The sequence below is a fragment of the Homo sapiens genome, chromosome 3, assembly GCF_000001405.40.
Source record: "Homo sapiens chromosome 3, GRCh38.p14 Primary Assembly".
NCBI classification, from domain to species: domain Eukaryota; kingdom Metazoa; phylum Chordata; class Mammalia; order Primates; family Hominidae; genus Homo; species Homo sapiens.
Window position 1 is genome coordinate 175032128 of NC_000003.12, and position 17931 is coordinate 175050058.

Sequence of the window (17931 nt, forward strand, 5' to 3'; positions counted from 1 at the left end):
CTTATCAATTTTTATTTTTATTGCAATTGCTTTTGTATAGTTAGTTACAAATCATTTCCCAGGGCTGATGTCCAGATGGGTATTTCTAGTTTTCTTGTAGGATTTTTATAATTTTTCTACTATAATTTTAAACAAAATTGTTAATATCCAGTATTATTAATAAATCTGTGTAATTGCTTAATATTCTCAAAAAATTAGCATTTTTTTAACAAATACTAGTGCTAGTGATATCCATGCGGTAAGCTCTATTAAGCCTTGAGTAAATTCAGTGATTTCTTTTTTTATATCAAGAATTATATTGCTCATTGTTTATTAATATCTACAACATGCCAGGTGTTCACCAAATAATCCTCATTTCCACATTAAAGTGTCAATACACAAGCATTACCTATATAGAACTTGTACCACAATAACAAATATTATATAATTTAATTTTTCAGCCATCCAACAGCCAGCCTTTTTTTTATGCTGTGCCTTTGCCTTTACCTGGCAGGCTCTTTCCCAGATGTTTGCATGTTCAAATGTCTTTCCTCAAAGTTCTTCTCACGAAAGGTTTTCCTGACTACAAAATTAAAAAATATATATATCATTTCCTTCAACTCAACTATTCTCTAATTCCATATTTTTCTCCATAGCACTTTCACTACCAGGAATTTTATTACCAATGTAGTTTAATTGTGTCATCAAGTTACTTAGGAGTCTCAACACATTTGGGCATAAAGTGGATGGAGTTTTATTTTTTCCAATCACTGCTTTCAACTATAGCATTTTCTCTATTCTTCCCTTAAAAGGGATGCCATAGCTCTCCTGTCATGTTCATTTGTTAATGCCATCTCAGCATTTCAGAGTTTCCTGCTTCTTCCCAATCAGCACAGGTGAAGACTGTGGCCCACAGTTTATTTAAAAGGAAAATTGTTCAATATAATCATGCTATATGACACATCTTTTGTTCCTCAAAGCTCAAGCGGGGGATGGAAGAGTAAATGAGATAGCAAGGTTGGTGGTGGGGAGGGGTCCGTGGATCTGGTTCCGTTGGATGTTAATGGCTCTGATGATATTTGATGGTTTCCATAAATGTGTTGTTAGTGGTTTCACCCTAGCTCCCTCCTTTTCTGAGGAACCAAAAAAGTTTAGAAAGAACTTTTTTGCCCACCCACATAAACTTCTTCTCTGACCGTGCTACCTTGTCCTATCTCCTGTTAATCTGCTGAGAACCATTGTATTTACTGTTCCTTCCTCATGAACAGATGATATTGTCTGTCTTGATATTTACTATTCTGTTTTTTGCTCATCAACTGTCACTCACCTGGAAAGGCACTCCTTCTCAGCATATGTCTAAATTTTATCATGTCACAGCTACTTAGAAGAATTTATTCCCGGTATGTGTCAGTGAAATTCCTTTTGTCAAGGTTATCAGTCATCTCCAGGTGCCTGATCCCATAGTTGTATCTCAGTCTTCATGTAATTCAATCTATCAGCAACATTTGACACAGGTGGTCTCTCCTTTTTGTTTGAAACACTTTATTTGCCTAATATCCTGGATACCACATTTTCACTGGCTGCTCCTTTTCTTATTTCTAACCCCTAAACACTGGAATATCACAAGCTCAATGCTTGGAACTCTTTCTTCTCCCTTTACTCTCACTCCTTACGTGGTTTAATCCAGTTCATGATGTGAAGCGCCATCTTGAATTTCATATCTGAATTTATAGTCTAAGAAGTTGCATTCCAAACCTCTTTGCTGAACTTGAGACTCATATATAGAGCTGCCTATTTGACATTATCACTTGAATATGTAATAGTATCTCAGATAAAACATTTCTAAAGCAAAACGTATGAAGCCTCACCACTGTGTACGGCCAAACCTATTCTTCTTGTAGTCTTCTCCGTTTCAGAATATCCACGCTTCTTGATTCTCAAGTTAAAACTGTCACATCTCCTTAATCTTCTTTCTCTCATGCCATGTATAATCCATGAGAAAATCTTGTTGGTTTTCCTTTTCAAGTATGTTTAGGATCTGATTCAATCTTGCTGTCTCCACCTTTGACACTCCATTTAATAAGCCCTCCTTGGCTATTGAAAGGATGACCTCATTTATGTTCTGCTTTTTTAAAAAAAGCTTGGTAAACTCTAGCCACACCAGCCTTTTATTGTACAGCACATGTGCATTGTTGCCTTTAAAGCCAGATACAAGTTCTGATTGTCCTTCAGTTAAGTTGGATGAAACTTAATTTGTTTGTGCTCAAGTTGAAATAAATCATATTATGGCAAATGTTCATGATGCCAAACTCAACCTCTCATTAGAAATTTTGCGCCTGTTATCATCTCAAATTAGAACTGTTTCCTTGTATAGCCACATGGCCAGGTCCCTTATTTTATTTCAAGTCTCTACTCAAATGACATCTTATCAAAGAGACTTCCCCTGGCCACACTTTCTCCATTACTATCTATCCCATTTGACTATGTTTTATTTTTCTTCATGGCATGTTATTTATTATTGATAGTAAGGCATACTGGTGACTTAAGAGGGTGAATGCTAGATCCAAACTGCCGAGAATTCAGTCTTTGTCTCCTACTGCTGGCTTAATGACTTTGGGCAAGTTTTTAAAACTTTCCGTGCCTGAGTTACTCATCTATCAAACAGGAATTATTATAGTACTTACCTCATAAATTGTTGTGAGTTAGCACAAAGCACTTAGAACAGCACCTGGCATCAGTAAGCATTCAGTAAGTGTTAGTTATAATCATATGAATTATTATTACTATCTTTTATATATTTCTTTAATGTGTGTCTTCTCTCATTAAAATATAACCTCATTGAGTGTTTTGTTCACTACTGTATTCTCAGTGTCCAGAAGTATTTCTGGCATATTGTAGGTATTCAAGAGATATTTGTTGAACAGTTGAAAGAAGTAATAAAGGTGGCCATAATAAATGAATGAAGGTTATGAGAGATGTATAATTTGTCCCACGACCAACTCCTCTTTATAACTTGCCATACTCAACTGGATCTGTGGGGATCTACTTGAACAGGTACATTCTGCATGACCTATGCCTAGGTTGAAAATTGGGATGCAACACAATAGAGTTCAGATATAAAAGAAGTTTGAATTGGTTGACAGGTATGTTTTAAGAATAAAGTAGACTTAAAGTAGCTTCCAATGAGGATAAGCATTGATGTGTGTCTGAGGGATAGAAGGACGAAGATAATTTAAAATGGAAAAACAGTATGGTCCTATGAAAGGCCAATCCACATTAGTCAGCAGGTCAGGGTGCCATCAGTAGGAGAGCAATATAAGATAAGACCAAATGTGGAGGGTCTGTGACAAGGGACAGGGTGTCTGGCTTTATGCTATGGGCCTTTTTCCCTGACTCTGTGCTCCTGAGGGGCACAATACTCTCAAGGTTGTCAAAGTGGCTTAGTAGGCATGCAGACTAGAGTAAGACGAAGGACATGTGTGGTTGATGCTGTGTTTTAATATTGATATAGCAATGAATATATAAGAATGTGAAAAAACTGGAAAAGACTGGTTAAAAGCAGAAGGCCTTTAAAAATTCAGACATCAGATATTTGGTTAAACAAAACATATAGAATTAGGTATATTTATGTTTAATTAGGGCTTTGCTGTTAATTCAAAATCATTTAAAATATGTTCTCCAGACCTCCAATATCAGACTCATTTGGGAAGCTTATTGAAAATTCAGATTCCTAAGTCCAACCTGGACTGACCAAATCTGAATATCTGAGTTACACCCGATATGACTAAATTTTAAGAAACTGCCTGTTCTCTTCTGGCATAAGATTTTCTTACTAAAATTCAGAATGAATGCATTTAGCTTGTATAGATGAGGCAAGTAAAGCGGGTAGACCTACATAAAAGTGAAGATATTTAAAGATAAAAGGATACTCAACAATTTTACTAGGTCAGTAATTTGGAAAGCGTAATTTATTTTTTACTTCATTTATGGTAAGATACACTAGTTGAAGTAAATGTTAAAATCCTTAATTAGAATCAAAATGTCACTAAAATTATCTTTCAGCATTTTGCTTGTATGATTATTAACTTCGTTTATCTTTTTCTTACTCTGGTGTGTCTTCTGAACCACTTTTTCTGTATATTTATATCTTTTCTAATTATAAAGGTCATTATTGTCATTTTCGACCATCAATATGTTTTAAAAATAACAAAATAATACTGACTTTTAATTTCTGCTCATTTTTGCATGTTTTGTTTTACAAAATCAGGATCACGTAGAACACAATTTTTTTTTTTCTTTTTCTTTTTTTTTGAGACAGAGTCTCGCTCTGTCACCCAGGCTGGAATGCAGTGGTGCGATCTCAGCTCACTTCAAGCTCTGCCTCCCAGGTTCACACTATTCTCCTGCCTCAGCCTCCCAAATAGCTGGGACTACAGGCACCTGCCACCACACCCAGCTAATTTTTTGTATTTTTAGTAGAGACGGGGTTTCACCATGTTAGCCAGGATGGTCTCGATCTCCTGACCTCGTGTTCTGCCTGCCTTGGCCTCCCAAAGTGCTGGGATTACAGGCATGAACCACTGCGCCCAGCCCATAGGACACACTTTTTTAACTTGATGTTTTACTACTTTAAAAAATATTTTATTGTTTTTCCTAATGCTCCTGCTGTTGGCCAGTGTCATATTTTTCCATCTGTTCTTTTTTTTTTTTTTTTTTTTAGCGTTCCTATACTTGCTACCCAACAACAACAACAACAGCATAATAACTCCTGTTTTCTCCTCACCAAAAGCTGAGGCATTCCTTTACTTCTTTGTCTGAATATGATACAGTCACTCCTCCTACATGCAGCTCTTCCACATTCACTCAGAGCTACTCTCTCATACACAGGTTGGTCGTTTCTTCTGAGACCTGGACAGTAGGGGTTCTGACCGAGAGTACCCTGCTTGGGCCTCCTTTAACTACGTTTCTCACCCATGAAGTCAAACAAGGCTAAAAGATTCTGCCAGTAACGAAAAAAGCTACTTTTAGATCCAGATCATTTATTACAAACAGAGAGAGTGAAAACTAGATGATCTAAGGTGCCAGCTTCCCACTTGTCCTCCAGGACAACATTGACATGAAAGGCACTGGTGATATGACTAAGTCACATGAGTATTAGAACACCCTTTGCTGACATGCTGCTTCCAAGCTGCAACCAAGCACTCTGCTAGCCTACAGCTGTACCCTAGAAGAAGGGTAGGGGAAAGAGGGCTTCATACCTCAGGAGAACCAAAGAGATGAGAAATTGCCTCATGACAACACCCCTGAAAGATAAGGAGATGGGAGATAAATGGCTTTGTAGCATCTCCTCACAAGCCTCCCATGTTCTCACAGTTTGGGAGAATCACAGGGTGTTCTGACAGAGCTTAGACTAGCTGGGGTTAACCCTTGCCTACATGGCCTCTGTGAAGATGTACAAGGTTACCAGAGCTCCATGGCAGAGTGATTTCCCTATCTGGATTCCACAGTCTGCCTACCTCAAGATCAAGCTCTCTGGGTACCTGGACCTGGAGTTCTCTGTCTAAATGGCCTCATGCCTGCTTCTACCTCCTGTGTGAGCCTTTTTCCTAGGTAGATCATTTCCAGTTAGACTGCATTCTGGTATACACATCCTAGTTCTAAGGGGGTGGCTGGAGTGTTATGTTTGTGTGAGTCTACAAAGAGCTTGGATGAGCAGGCCACGGTATCCCCATTCATGCTTGCAAGGCCCCTTAGGTGCTAGACAGAGGTACTACATCAGAATCAAATTGTACTAATGAATGAAGCCTCTGCTGCCTGGAAGGGAAAACCAAAGGAAGGGAGCGTGGATTTAAAAAGCCGAAGTAAAGACTTTCTTGGCCTCCCTCCTAATTGTTACCTAGTGATTATCAGAAATTGTAGATTCTTACAAGAGAGGAAGAGAAATATGACAACTTTTTTATTGTCATGACAGTCCAAAAACCTTGAGCCTAGATGTTTTTTTCTTAGAGTAAAAGCCAATAAATATTATGATAAAATCTTTAAATAGAAAATGAAGTGGAAGGCTTAACATTTTTTTAAGGATTCGTGGGAAGAATGCTAAATGAAACATATTTATTTGCTAACAAATCTTCTTATAAAACACAAAATTTTAGAGATTTTGATCAGTAATGTTGCCTACATGTCATTGTTTTAATAAAGCTATACACTGAGTAAATAAATAAAATAAGAAAAAAATGAATTTACTGACACTTTCACTAAGACTCACCTAAGGCATAAGCTTTTTGTTTTGAACCACAAGATTATGACCAACATACTACCTATTTGCTCACCCCTGGAGCAGTACACACAATTGCAAGTTGTAGACCTTTGACAAGGTAAAATTGTGTATGCTTAAAAATAAATTCATAAAGATACCACAAAAATTTTGCTTTTAGACTAGCCACCTACTTGTCCTTGTGACTGTTATTTCAGAATGTAGCCATTTGCCATGAATCATTTTCTTTTAGTTTCAATAATTCTTAATGAACTTTACATCAACAATGCGTAACTTGAAGTATACATCAGAGGCTCTTTTAAAATAAAGTCATTGGTCCCAAACTGAATGACCTTCTGATTCAGAATATCTGGGTTTAGCACGTAATATCTAAATTTTACGTGCTGAGGTGGAAGTGGAATTTTCTTTTTTTTTTTAAGCTTTGCCTATGTAGTGAACAAATAATTTATCGTGCAAACGTAAACAGTTTTGAAAGTGAAAGAGGGTGCTATTAATATTGCGTTGGGACCAGAGGTATAAATTGGTACTGTCCAAACCAGAACAAATGCCCATCCTATCTAAAGGTGACGGAAAAATGCTATCTAGTCAAACCAAATAAACAAACTCTCTGATAGTGGAATTTATCACATGGTGAGATCACATGCAGTTGCGGGCTAGGAGTAGCACCCCCCTTTTATTTTTGGACCAAATATAATAATGAATATTCATTTTAAAGAAAGAAAAATATGTTTTCTTTCCTTATCTCCTGGTTTATTTTTTATAAAGTTTCAGCTACAAGGTTCTGTTGTTTGTTTTTTGTTTCTGAGATGGAGTTTTGCTCTTGTAGCCCATGCTAGAGAGCAGTGGCACAAACTCGGCTCACTGCAACCTCTGCCTCCTGGGTTCAAGCAATTCTCCTGCCTCAGCCTCCTGAGTAGCTGGAACTACAGGCATGTGCCACGACGCCTGGCTAATTTTTTATATTCTTAGTAGAGACAGGTTTTTACCATATTGGCCAGGCTGGTCTCGAACTCCTGACCTCAGAGCTATTATGTCTTTAACTGAATAGGATACCTACACAATCCCTCCTCCTTTATGCAGCTCTTCCACGTTCACTCAGAACTATTCTCTCGTATGCAGGCAGGCAGTGTCTTCTGAGACCTGGACAATAGGGTTATGTAGTATAATTTTATGTAGTCTCCTTCGTAGTTGATCATCATGAATCATAAAAAGTAGATAATATGCTGTTCTATTTCGTATTCTTTGTGCTGGAGTACTTTGACCCTTTACCATTATTTTGCTAGTTTTAAACTTACTAGACAAGTGAAACAGTAGAAATAGTTTGTGGTGCTCTTAGTGTAGGAAATTCTATCTGTGAAGGGTTTACTGAGTACCAAGAGTTTAGTATACAGTAGGAAAGCCATATTCCATTTTTCCAAAGCAATTTCATTTTTTAAAATATTTGTCTTTGATACTTATGTAGCTTCTTGTTTTTTTTATTCATGTATTCACACATTCTTTCATTCCTTTAGTTTTGCGGTTGAATATACAAATTTGTACAAGATTATACCTAACACTCTGTACTGATTATACTCAGTTTTTAGCTTTTCTTTACAAAAATGTATAGATCTTACACTTACAAAAAAGATATACACATGCGCACAGGCATATGTGCACACACACGCATACACTCAACCCCAGCCAAGATCTCTCTTACAAGCTCCAGTCTTGTGTCAATCTGTCTACTTAGCATCATGATTTGGGTGTTTCAAACTCCTGAATAAACATGTCCACGCCTGAAATTGTAATCATTCTTTTCAAACTGCTTTTCTTCCAGTGTACAACTTTTTAATAAACTGGTGTCACTGTCCATCAAAACACCCAACCTCAGAAATCCATTAATTAAATGAATAATTTCATTACTGTTTGTCTCCTAACTAGTCTATAATCTCCATTAAAGCAGAATCTGTTTTTTCCCCTTCATCATTGTATGTGCACCATTCACAGAGCCTGACACAAAATAGGCAGTCAATATTTGTGTAAAAGAGGACTGGACCTGCAATTTAATGTATTCTGAAGTACTTCTAGCCTTGTGGTAGAAAACTTACGGGGGCCGTTTCCATAAAGTGTCAGTGCAGTGTAAGGGACAAATGCTCCAGACTAATACCCAGAAGACTTGCTTTGATCTTTACCCCATCTTGACCTCCACTTCCCATCTGAATGTGAACTTTTCTGAGTATCATTTTATACCTCTATAACACTAATAACCTTTTTTCCATCTACGATAGTATACTACTTCAAGGCTCAATTGAGATAATAAATATGAAAGTGTTTTGTAAACTATGAACTGCTATATAAAAAGTAAAGTCATTTATTCATAAAATCCTCTATCCTTCTTTTATAGGCAAGGCCATAACAAATTCAGTCTCTGTGAAGGGTGTTCATGCTTCTGTTTTTTCCAAGATATACAATATTTATTCTGCACTAAGTTATACAGAACCCCATATTTAAAAACATGCATCAACTCAGAGTCCAGAAAATGTTCATGCCTGAGCACACAGCAAGTAACTGTAGACACGGTGCTTGCATGCCACTGCATATTTACAGTACATTTTCATTCATGCTCTCTTACTGCCTTAATTTTTCTGTCAGCTTGAAAAGTTGCTTTTTATTCGTGCCATAACCTTATTTTGTGCAACTGCCTCTTGGAATTCATTATTATCGATATTTTGCATATCGTGGATATAGCACTTTTCAGTCTGAAAAGTCACTTTTCATGCTGATGCTATGTTTTCTAGATCTGGTGTCTGGAGTACATTATTAACCACATTTGGAGTACAGTGTTCTTCATTTGGCACTTCTTCAAGGTTCTTAAAAATATATTCAGTATAATTAATACTTTTCCATTTCTGAAGATGTTAATATGTAAGCAAATCTATAATTTACAAGCTGAGGTGGAGGAAACCATGTTTCAAATTTGCTGTTTCTAAGAATATCTATTTGCAGAATGACTTGAAGTTTTGCTCACAGCACCCTCTGTCATCTTCTTTAAACAGTTTCTAAGTGGTTATAAACTATACAAAGCTAGGAGGTCTTTGGGATTTTCTTAAGATATTGAAAGCCAGTGTCAGGATTAGAGTTATACTTCATTTGTTTAATAGATCTTAGTAATCTTCTGCTCATGGATGACACTCAGACAAACATCCTGCAAAAATGAAGAGATGAGCGTCTTTAAAAGTGTGGTTTCCATGCATTTCCTTAACATGTTTATACAATGACACTGTAGCTTTGGCTAGATGCTCCCGTCATTCCTTCTATGCTTTATGTACACTTGCAGGCTTTAGAGGAACACATGATTTATAATTATGGATGCACTGTGTATATCTATACCTGTGTATCTATCTCTATATTTTTATATTTCAGCTTTATTGAGGTCTAATTGACAAGCAAAAATTGTACATATTCGAAAGGTACAATGTATATTTTAATATATGTATATATTGTGAAATGATTGCCAAGATCAAGAAAATTAATACATCTATCACCTTACATGCTTACCTTTTCTGTGTGTATGATGGGAACAGTTAATACCTGCTCTTATATTTCAACTGTACAAAACAGCATTATTAACTATAGTCAGCATGCTGTACATTAGGTCCTCAGAATTTATTCATCTTACAACTGCAAGTTTGTTCACTTTGACCAACTTTTCTCCATTTCTCCCAACTCCTAACCCAGGGCAACCATCATTTTATCCTTTGCTTCTGATTTAGACTTTTTTTAGATTCCACATATGTGCGATCATATGATAGTTGCCTTTCTGTGTCTGGCATACTTCACTTAATATCATGTCCTCCAGGTTCATTTATGTTATCACAAATGGCAGAATTTCCTTCTTTGTTGAAGCCAAATAATTTACTATATATATAGCCTGTTTTTCTTTGGAATACTATATATACACCTCATTTTCTTTATCCAGTTGCTCATCAATGAACATTTAGGTTGTTTCCATATTTTGACTATTGTGAATAGTGGTACAATAAATATGAAAGTAAAGATGTCTCTTTGAGATACTGATTTTATTTCACTGTAATATATACACAGAATTGGGTTTGTTGGATCACATGACACTTCTGTTTTTAACTTAACATACTATTTTCCATAGTGCCTATACCAATTTATATTCCCCCCAACAATGAATAAGGGTTCCCTTTCCTCCACATCCTCATCATCACTTCTTATCTTCTGACTTTTTGTTAATTGTCATTCTAATAGATGTGAGGTGATATCTCACTGAGATTTTGATATGCATTTCTCTGATGATTAGTGATATTGACCATATTTTCATATATCTATTGATCACTTGTATGTCTTCTTTTGAAAAATATCTATTCAGTTCCACTATGGTTTGGATATTTGCCCCTCCAAACCTCATATTGAAATGTGATACCCAGTGTTGGAGATGGGACCTAAAGTGAGTTGTTTTAGTCACGGGGGTGAATCCTTCATAAATTAATGCCCTCCCTAGGGAGTTAGTGAGTGCTCACTCTATTAGTTCAGACCCATGAGAGTTGATTCTTAAAAAAAGCCTGGCACCTCCCCACCTCTTGCTTGCTCTCTCTCTGTGTGATCTCTGCACACACTGGCTATCCCTTTGCCTTATGCCATGAGTGGAAGCTGCCTGAGGCCCTCATCAGTTGCAGATCCTCAGTCATTAACTTTCCAACCATCAGAATCAGAAGGCCAATAAAACTTTTTTATTCTTTGTAAATTACCCAGCCTCAGATATTCCTCTACAGTAATCCAAACCAGACTAACACAAAGTCCTTTGCCCATTTTTAAAATATGGTTATTTGATTTTTTGCCATTGAGCTATATTATTTCTTTGTATGTTTTGGATATTAAGTCTTGCTATGTCACCCAGGCTGGAGTTCAGCGGCACAATCTGGGCTCACTGCAACCTCTGCCTCCCGGTTTTAAGTGATTCTCCTGCCTCAGCCTCGTAAGTAGCTGGGATTACAGGCACGCGCCACGATGCCTGGCTAAATTTCGTATTTTTAGTAGAGATGGGATTTTATCACATTTGTCAGGCTGGCCTCGAACTCCTGACCTTGTGATCTGCCCGCCTCAGTCTCCCAAAGTGCTGGCGTTACAGGTGTGAGCCATAGCACCTGGCCTGGTTTAGGTCTTTAATCTATTTTAAGTTGATTAAGGATCCAATTTTAATTTTTTACATGTGGATATCTGTTTTCTCAACACCATTTATTGAAGAGGCTATCATTTCCACATTGTGTATTTTTGGTGCTCTTGTCAAATTAGTTGACCTTAAAAGCATGGGTTTATTTCTGGGCTCTCATTTCTCTTCTGTTAGTCTATGTGTCTGTATTTATGTCAGTACCATACTGTTTCAATTACTAGAGCTTTGTAATAAAATTTGAAATCAGGAAGTGTTACTGCCTCTAGATTTGTTCTACTTGCTTAAGATTGCTTTAGCTATTGAGTTTTTAGTAATTCTATACAAATTTTAGGATTGTTTCATCTATTTTTATCATAAATGCCATTGTACTTTTGACAGTGATTACTTTGAATCTATAAATTGCTTTACATAATACAAATATTTGAAAATGTTAATTCTTCCAATCTGTGAGCATAGGATATCTTTTCATTTATTTATGTCTTCTTCAATTTCTTTCATCAATGTTTTATAGTTTTCATCATACCTGTTTGGTTAAAATTATTCCTAAGTATCTTATTCTTTTTGATGCTATTGTAAATGGCATTATTCTCTCAATTTCTGTTTTGTGTAGCTTGTTCTTAGTGTGTAGAAACACAGTGGAATTTGTATGTTAATTTTGAAAAAAATACACTATATTTTTGTATATTTTTGTAGATGCTCCAGAAAGGGATTTTCCTATTTTTGGACTAGTATCAGATCTTGAACTGGACTCAAATGTTAGAAATGAGAAGAATGATTGAAATCATTTCTCTCTCTCATCTCCAGTCTGAGATGGTCTTGCTATTTTGATATTTGTGTTGCTTTTGTTGTTGCATTATATTTGTTGAAATATTTAGACCATAAATACATTTATTGTCTTTCCATCTCATTATCTGTCTCGTGTATTGCAAGGGGAATCTGATAACTGTTATATTCCTGGTAAACTATTAATCATAAAAGTTTTGAGCTGCCACATAAAACAATTAAAACATTCATGTTCATACATATAATCTTCTGTCACTTCAGGTATTTTTTATAGGTGAGAGTGATAAGCCTAGTGTTCAACTATTGAAAACTAATGAACAAACTGTAATACTACATTTATATAATTATTATTTTCTATGGGGCCACATAGGTTGTTTGGGTCCATAGAAAATGTGCTGGGAAGAGAATCTTAAAAGTATCAAAGTCTTACAGATTGGTTTTGATTTCTTTCTAGTATCTTTCACTTCTGAGTCTTACTCAGTTGTTACTGCTTCTTATCACCGACATTACTCTCTTTATTATATTTTTCTGTTGGTGGAGTCTCTCCTTGATTAATTCTAGTCACAGAGAGCGAAGGGGCGCAATTTCTGATTTTTTTTTTTTCATGCTTGAAAATTATTTGATTATCCCTTTACACATAATAGGATGATATTTCAGATGTTTATATATGTTTATCAGTTTATATTTTATTTCCCCCATCCCATTGCAACCCTGAAGACACTGTTTTCTAACATAAAATTTTGCCTTTGTTGATAAGAACTCTAATAGTTGTTGGATTATTGGTATTTTGTGGAAAATCTGTTTTTTCATAAAGGCCTTTAGGATTTTCTCTTCCCACTTGAATTTCTGAAACTTCACAGTGATATAACTAAGTTTAAGTCTAACTTTCATACTGCATCACACTCTCCGTGGACACTCCACCCGAAGACATGAATGTCCTTTTCAAGAAAATTTCTATTAGTTCATTTTCTCTTCTCCTCCATTATCTTTGTTATTTCCTTGTACAGAATTTCTGTTTTATCTCTGGGATCCCCAGGTCATTTAAATTGTGTTTATAATTTTTCTGTTATCTTTTCTCAAAATATGGGGAGATTTCCTTGACTGTTTATCCTCTAAGTTACTAGTTTGGTATTTATTACTGTCTATTTTATTATTTTCAAAATCTGTGAAGGGTTTGAGATTTTAATTTACTTTCAGAGGAACAAGTTAGCCTCCCATAGTTTCATGAATACTGGAAGAAGACATGAGACTCTTGAATCAGAGAAAAATGATTTATTACTCACAGTATAGCGGCCAGTATGATAATCTAATTATTATGTCAGTTCTGTTGCCTCTGAGTCACGCAGGGTGGCAAGGATGAGCCCAGATACTTGCTCAAGAATTGCAACCAAGAAATCCCAAGCTTAGAGAACTAAAATATTTTAAGATGGATATGAAGCATGCCTTCCTTCTACTCCAGAGATAAACACTATGTGTATCTTCTAAGGCTTTAAGCAAACCTGGCCTTCATTGTGGAGGAACACTATCACTATTTTCCAAGACTTTTTACTATTCGAGTATTCTTGGAAAGACAGTCTGAAACAAAATTAATAAGTGCCTTGCTTCATAAGACATTCAGAGATAAGAGACACTCAACAAGAACCTCCTAACCGTTAATATGTCTAGACTTTATGTTTTTTTTTTTAATTTTGGAAATAATATTTTTTAGTTTTCAGGATCCAATATTTCCTTTCTGCTTGATACATTTTTACAAGTCTGCTTTTGGGGAAGTGGAAAAGTACAATGTATTTTCTAAGGTGATTAACCCTAAGGTGATTTTTAAAAGTTATCTTCTATTTTCTAGGTCAGTGCTTCATAAACTTTTCTGTGCATGTGTCTTCTTGAGTATTTGTTTAAATGCAGATTCGGAATTAGTGGGCTTTGGATGGGCTTGAGATGGTAAACTTTTAATAAGATGCTAGTGATGCAATGCTGTTGGTCTTTGGGCAGCTATTTTGACTATCAGGGATTTATTACCTTTGTTTCCTCAGGAACCAGTTCTATTTGTTTACGTTAGTTTAGCTTTTCATACTTTTTTTTCATAAATCTATTGTTGTCCATATTTCCAAGTGGAGGTCTCAGACAAATAATATGAATGTCTGGTTTATCTAAGCACAAGTGGCAGTCATTTCATCGAAGCCCTCTCCATGAGAGAACTGGCTTTGGATTCCTTCTCAGAAAAGAGAAGTTTCTCAGAGGATAATGAAGTAAAGACCTCCAACAATCTGTTGCTCTGCGACAGCAATAAGCATACTGGCAAAAACTGCCAAATTCATCTTTTTAGGAACTCAGCATATACAAAGGCTTGCGACAATCCAAGAAGCATATATTTAAGAAAAACAGCTGCATTTCAAGAACAACAGCCAGCTTTGTAGCATTTTAATGTGCTGTTTTCATCATCTTCTTCCCAGCTCTGTGATAGCTCTGAAAACCATCATCCCTGCAAACGTAGTGAAAGCCAGCAACCTAGAAGTCGGCCTTGGTCTGTTTAGGCTATTACACAATACCATAGAGTGAGTATCACATAAACAATGGAAATGTATGTTTCACAGTTCTGAAGGCTGAGAAATCCAAGATCAAAGTGCCAGAAGATTCAGTGTCTGGCAAGGGACTGATTTCTGTGTCATAGATGGCCATCTTCTTACTGTGTCCTCAGATGGTGGAAGGGGTGAGGGAACTCTACAGAGTCTCTTTTATAAGAGCACGAATCCCATTCACAATGGCTCCACTGTCATGATCCAGTCATGTCCCCTAGGCCCCCGCCTTCTAATACCATCCCATTGGGGGTTTGAATTTCAACATTTGAATTTTAGAGGGACACAAACATTCTGTCCTTGTCATATAACTGGAGGGGGGACAATTGTTTTGGATTCCCCCCAAAGTTAACATTCACATTGTCATTATTTGATCTTTCTGGCTAAATGAACTTTGCGAAAATGACAAAAAACATGTATTTCCCATAGCAGGGTGGCAATGGTTTTTGTTTAATCATGGACTTTGATATGTAATTTTTTTTAAATTTCTTCTCTGGTTGATAGGTCTGTAATAAGTTTATTCTTCAAACATTTATTTATGGTACACATAAATGACAGATATTACACTAGGGGATTTTCTGATATTGAGAAATCACTTTCCAATAATACTATGTATTTTAAAAGTTGTAACATACATAGAAACATACAACTTACCCAATAAAATGCTAAAATAAGACAAATATAACACAAACTTTGTAAATGTACCCAAACTCACTCTAAAGTTTTAGTGTCTCAGACGGTTTTAGATGAAATTTTACTAGACTCATCAGATTAATTTTTCCTTTAGTATTTTGATAAACTGAGACTAGATCAAAGAATAAAATTAGCTGACACAATTTTATATTATTAAAACATACATGAAAAACTCTGGCATTTTATTAAAAAACTTTGCGAATTCCTGAATCTGATATTCACCTTTCATATATTCACAACTGGCAAATGCCTAGTTTTAAATAACACATTTGTGTGTGACCTTTTAAGAAAATTACCAATGTCTTTGTTTAGAGTGCAGAGGGCATGGATTTCACAGAGCATTTCCCACTAAATGGAGTATATGACTCCAATTTCATAGCCATGTTGTCAGGAAGTGGCACTTCATTAAGATAATGTGACCTTTAGAATATTCTTCCAACCTTTTACTATGTCTTTGGTAGTGGGATTTGTACTTTAATTTCTGTAGCTTTTTGATAAGTTGGAAATAAAAAGTAATTGAAAGCTACATTTTTTATTTCACTTCAACTATACATTGAGTGTGGGTTTTTCCCCCTAAAATGGCAAAAAATGTCAGGTAAAGGATTTTTGTTCAAATGAGGGATTATCTGCCAGGAAAATATCTTTTAGAGTTAAAATCAAATTGGCAAGTTTATACCTATTGTGGAAAGGAAGAAAGGGAGAAAATGGCTATGTAGAAAGAAAGCAAAAATTGTTCTTTTTTTCTACTGCATTTTCAAAAAAGTTGAGGAAGGCCCCCAAAGCCCTTTTTCTTGTGTTGTGATGACAGTGAGATAATGTTTTCGGTGTGCTTGCTGTGGCAACTTGAAATTGTTTGTTCATTTGAAGCCATCATTGAAAGTAGAGATTTAACTTCTAAAACCATTTTTTTTTTTTTTTTTGTGGTGAAGTCAAAGTAAGCAATTAAAGGAAAGAGGAAAGGAGATTATTGTTCTGGTTAGACTTGAAGTAGCATTTCTCAGGAACCATTTATGCATCATTTGGTTTACTTATAGGATTGAATTTTATGATCGGAATTGAGTTTTTCAATGAATATCTTAAAATATATTTACAGCTAAGTATTGTTTTATTTTAATATGTGGATACTCTTAGGTTTCAGAGCATGTATTTCTTAATCAGTTCTTTGGCAACTGTAACATTAAGGTTCTCTTTTTAATATATTTGAAATGGAGCATTCATAATACACCCTGGGAGTGGCTGCATTAGGTGAAATCACAGAACCATATGGTGGCCTGAAAGCTGCATAGGGAGTTTGTGATTCTTTTACTAGATATGTTGCTTTAGACAAACCACTTAGTTTCCTAAGCTTTATTTTCTCTATTAGAAAAATAACAGTATAAATTAGGGATGTAATCAGTTGCAAATACAGTAGTCTCCCTTTATCCATGGGGATACATCCTAAGAGCCCTCCGCCAGTGGATGCCTTTAACCTTGAATAGTACTCAACCCCACAGATATTTTTTTTTTCCTAGAATCAGCCAGGATCCACTGATTATCTGCCTCAGGTAATCCTGGCTCATCAAGCCATGATGATCTTGATGATTTAGTATTGGAACAAATGATATTGATGACTAAGAGGTGGGTAGCTTATACAGCATGGATATGCTAGACCAAGGGATTATTCACACACTGGGTAAATGGAAGTGGGACAGATCAAGATTTCATCATGCTACCCAGAATGGTGAGCTATTTGAAATTTATATGTTTAGATAACATTTGACCCGACTGTAGGTAACTGAAACCAGGGAAAGTAAAACCAGAGATAAGGAAGAGTTTTTGTAACAGAAAACCTGTGTATAGAGGCCTAAAAAATAGACGCAGACTTTTCTAAGCCAGGATGTGTATAGTGCAAGGTAGTCTGGCCTGGCCAGCCAATGCTATCGTCAGGACTCCATCCTTTGTATCCCCTCTATTTGAGACTGTAGCACCATGGCCACAAGAGAGCTGTTAAACCTCTAAGGGTTTTGTCCACATTCCAGGTAAGGGGAAAAGAAATACCAGAGTTTTTTCCTGATGAGGTTTTATCCTTTAATAAAAAAGGGGATTGATCCCTAGCTGACTTCTCTCTGTACCTCATTAACCAGAATTCTGTCACATAACCTCCCATAGCTGCAAGAGAGTCAGAAAAATCAAGCATTAAGCTCTCTGGATTCTGTAATAGAGGAAGACAAGAGAGAAAGTAGTTGAGAAAGGGTGTTGATTAATCTGTAATATGGACCGCAATTAAATACAGCAAGTTCTCAAATGTTGTTTTGTTTAATATTGTTTTGTTATAATGTTGTTGTGAAAAAAATAATAATCCCCAGCTGGGGCCACTCTTTGTGTGGAGTCTGCACATTTTTTTTCCATGTCTGCGTGGGTTTTCTCCAGGTACTCTGATTACCTCCCAAATTCCAAAGATGTGCACGTTAGGA

At 36.0% G+C, this 17931-nt stretch overlaps 1 protein-coding gene across 21 annotated transcripts in view; it reads left to right on the forward strand.

Annotated features, from left to right (window-relative positions):
* NAALADL2 (N-acetylated alpha-linked acidic dipeptidase like 2) overlaps nucleotides 1–17931 on the forward strand; it is a 1369567-nt gene that overhangs the window by 591146 nt on the left and 760490 nt on the right. The window contains exon 2 of one of the 21 annotated variants that reach the window (XM_047447878.1): nucleotides 14663–14764. The exons of the other annotated variants lie outside the window; for them this stretch is intronic. The gene's annotated coding sequence lies outside the window, so the exon portion shown is untranslated. The remainder of the gene's footprint in view (nucleotides 1–14662; nucleotides 14765–17931) is intronic. 21 annotated transcript variants of the gene reach the window in all.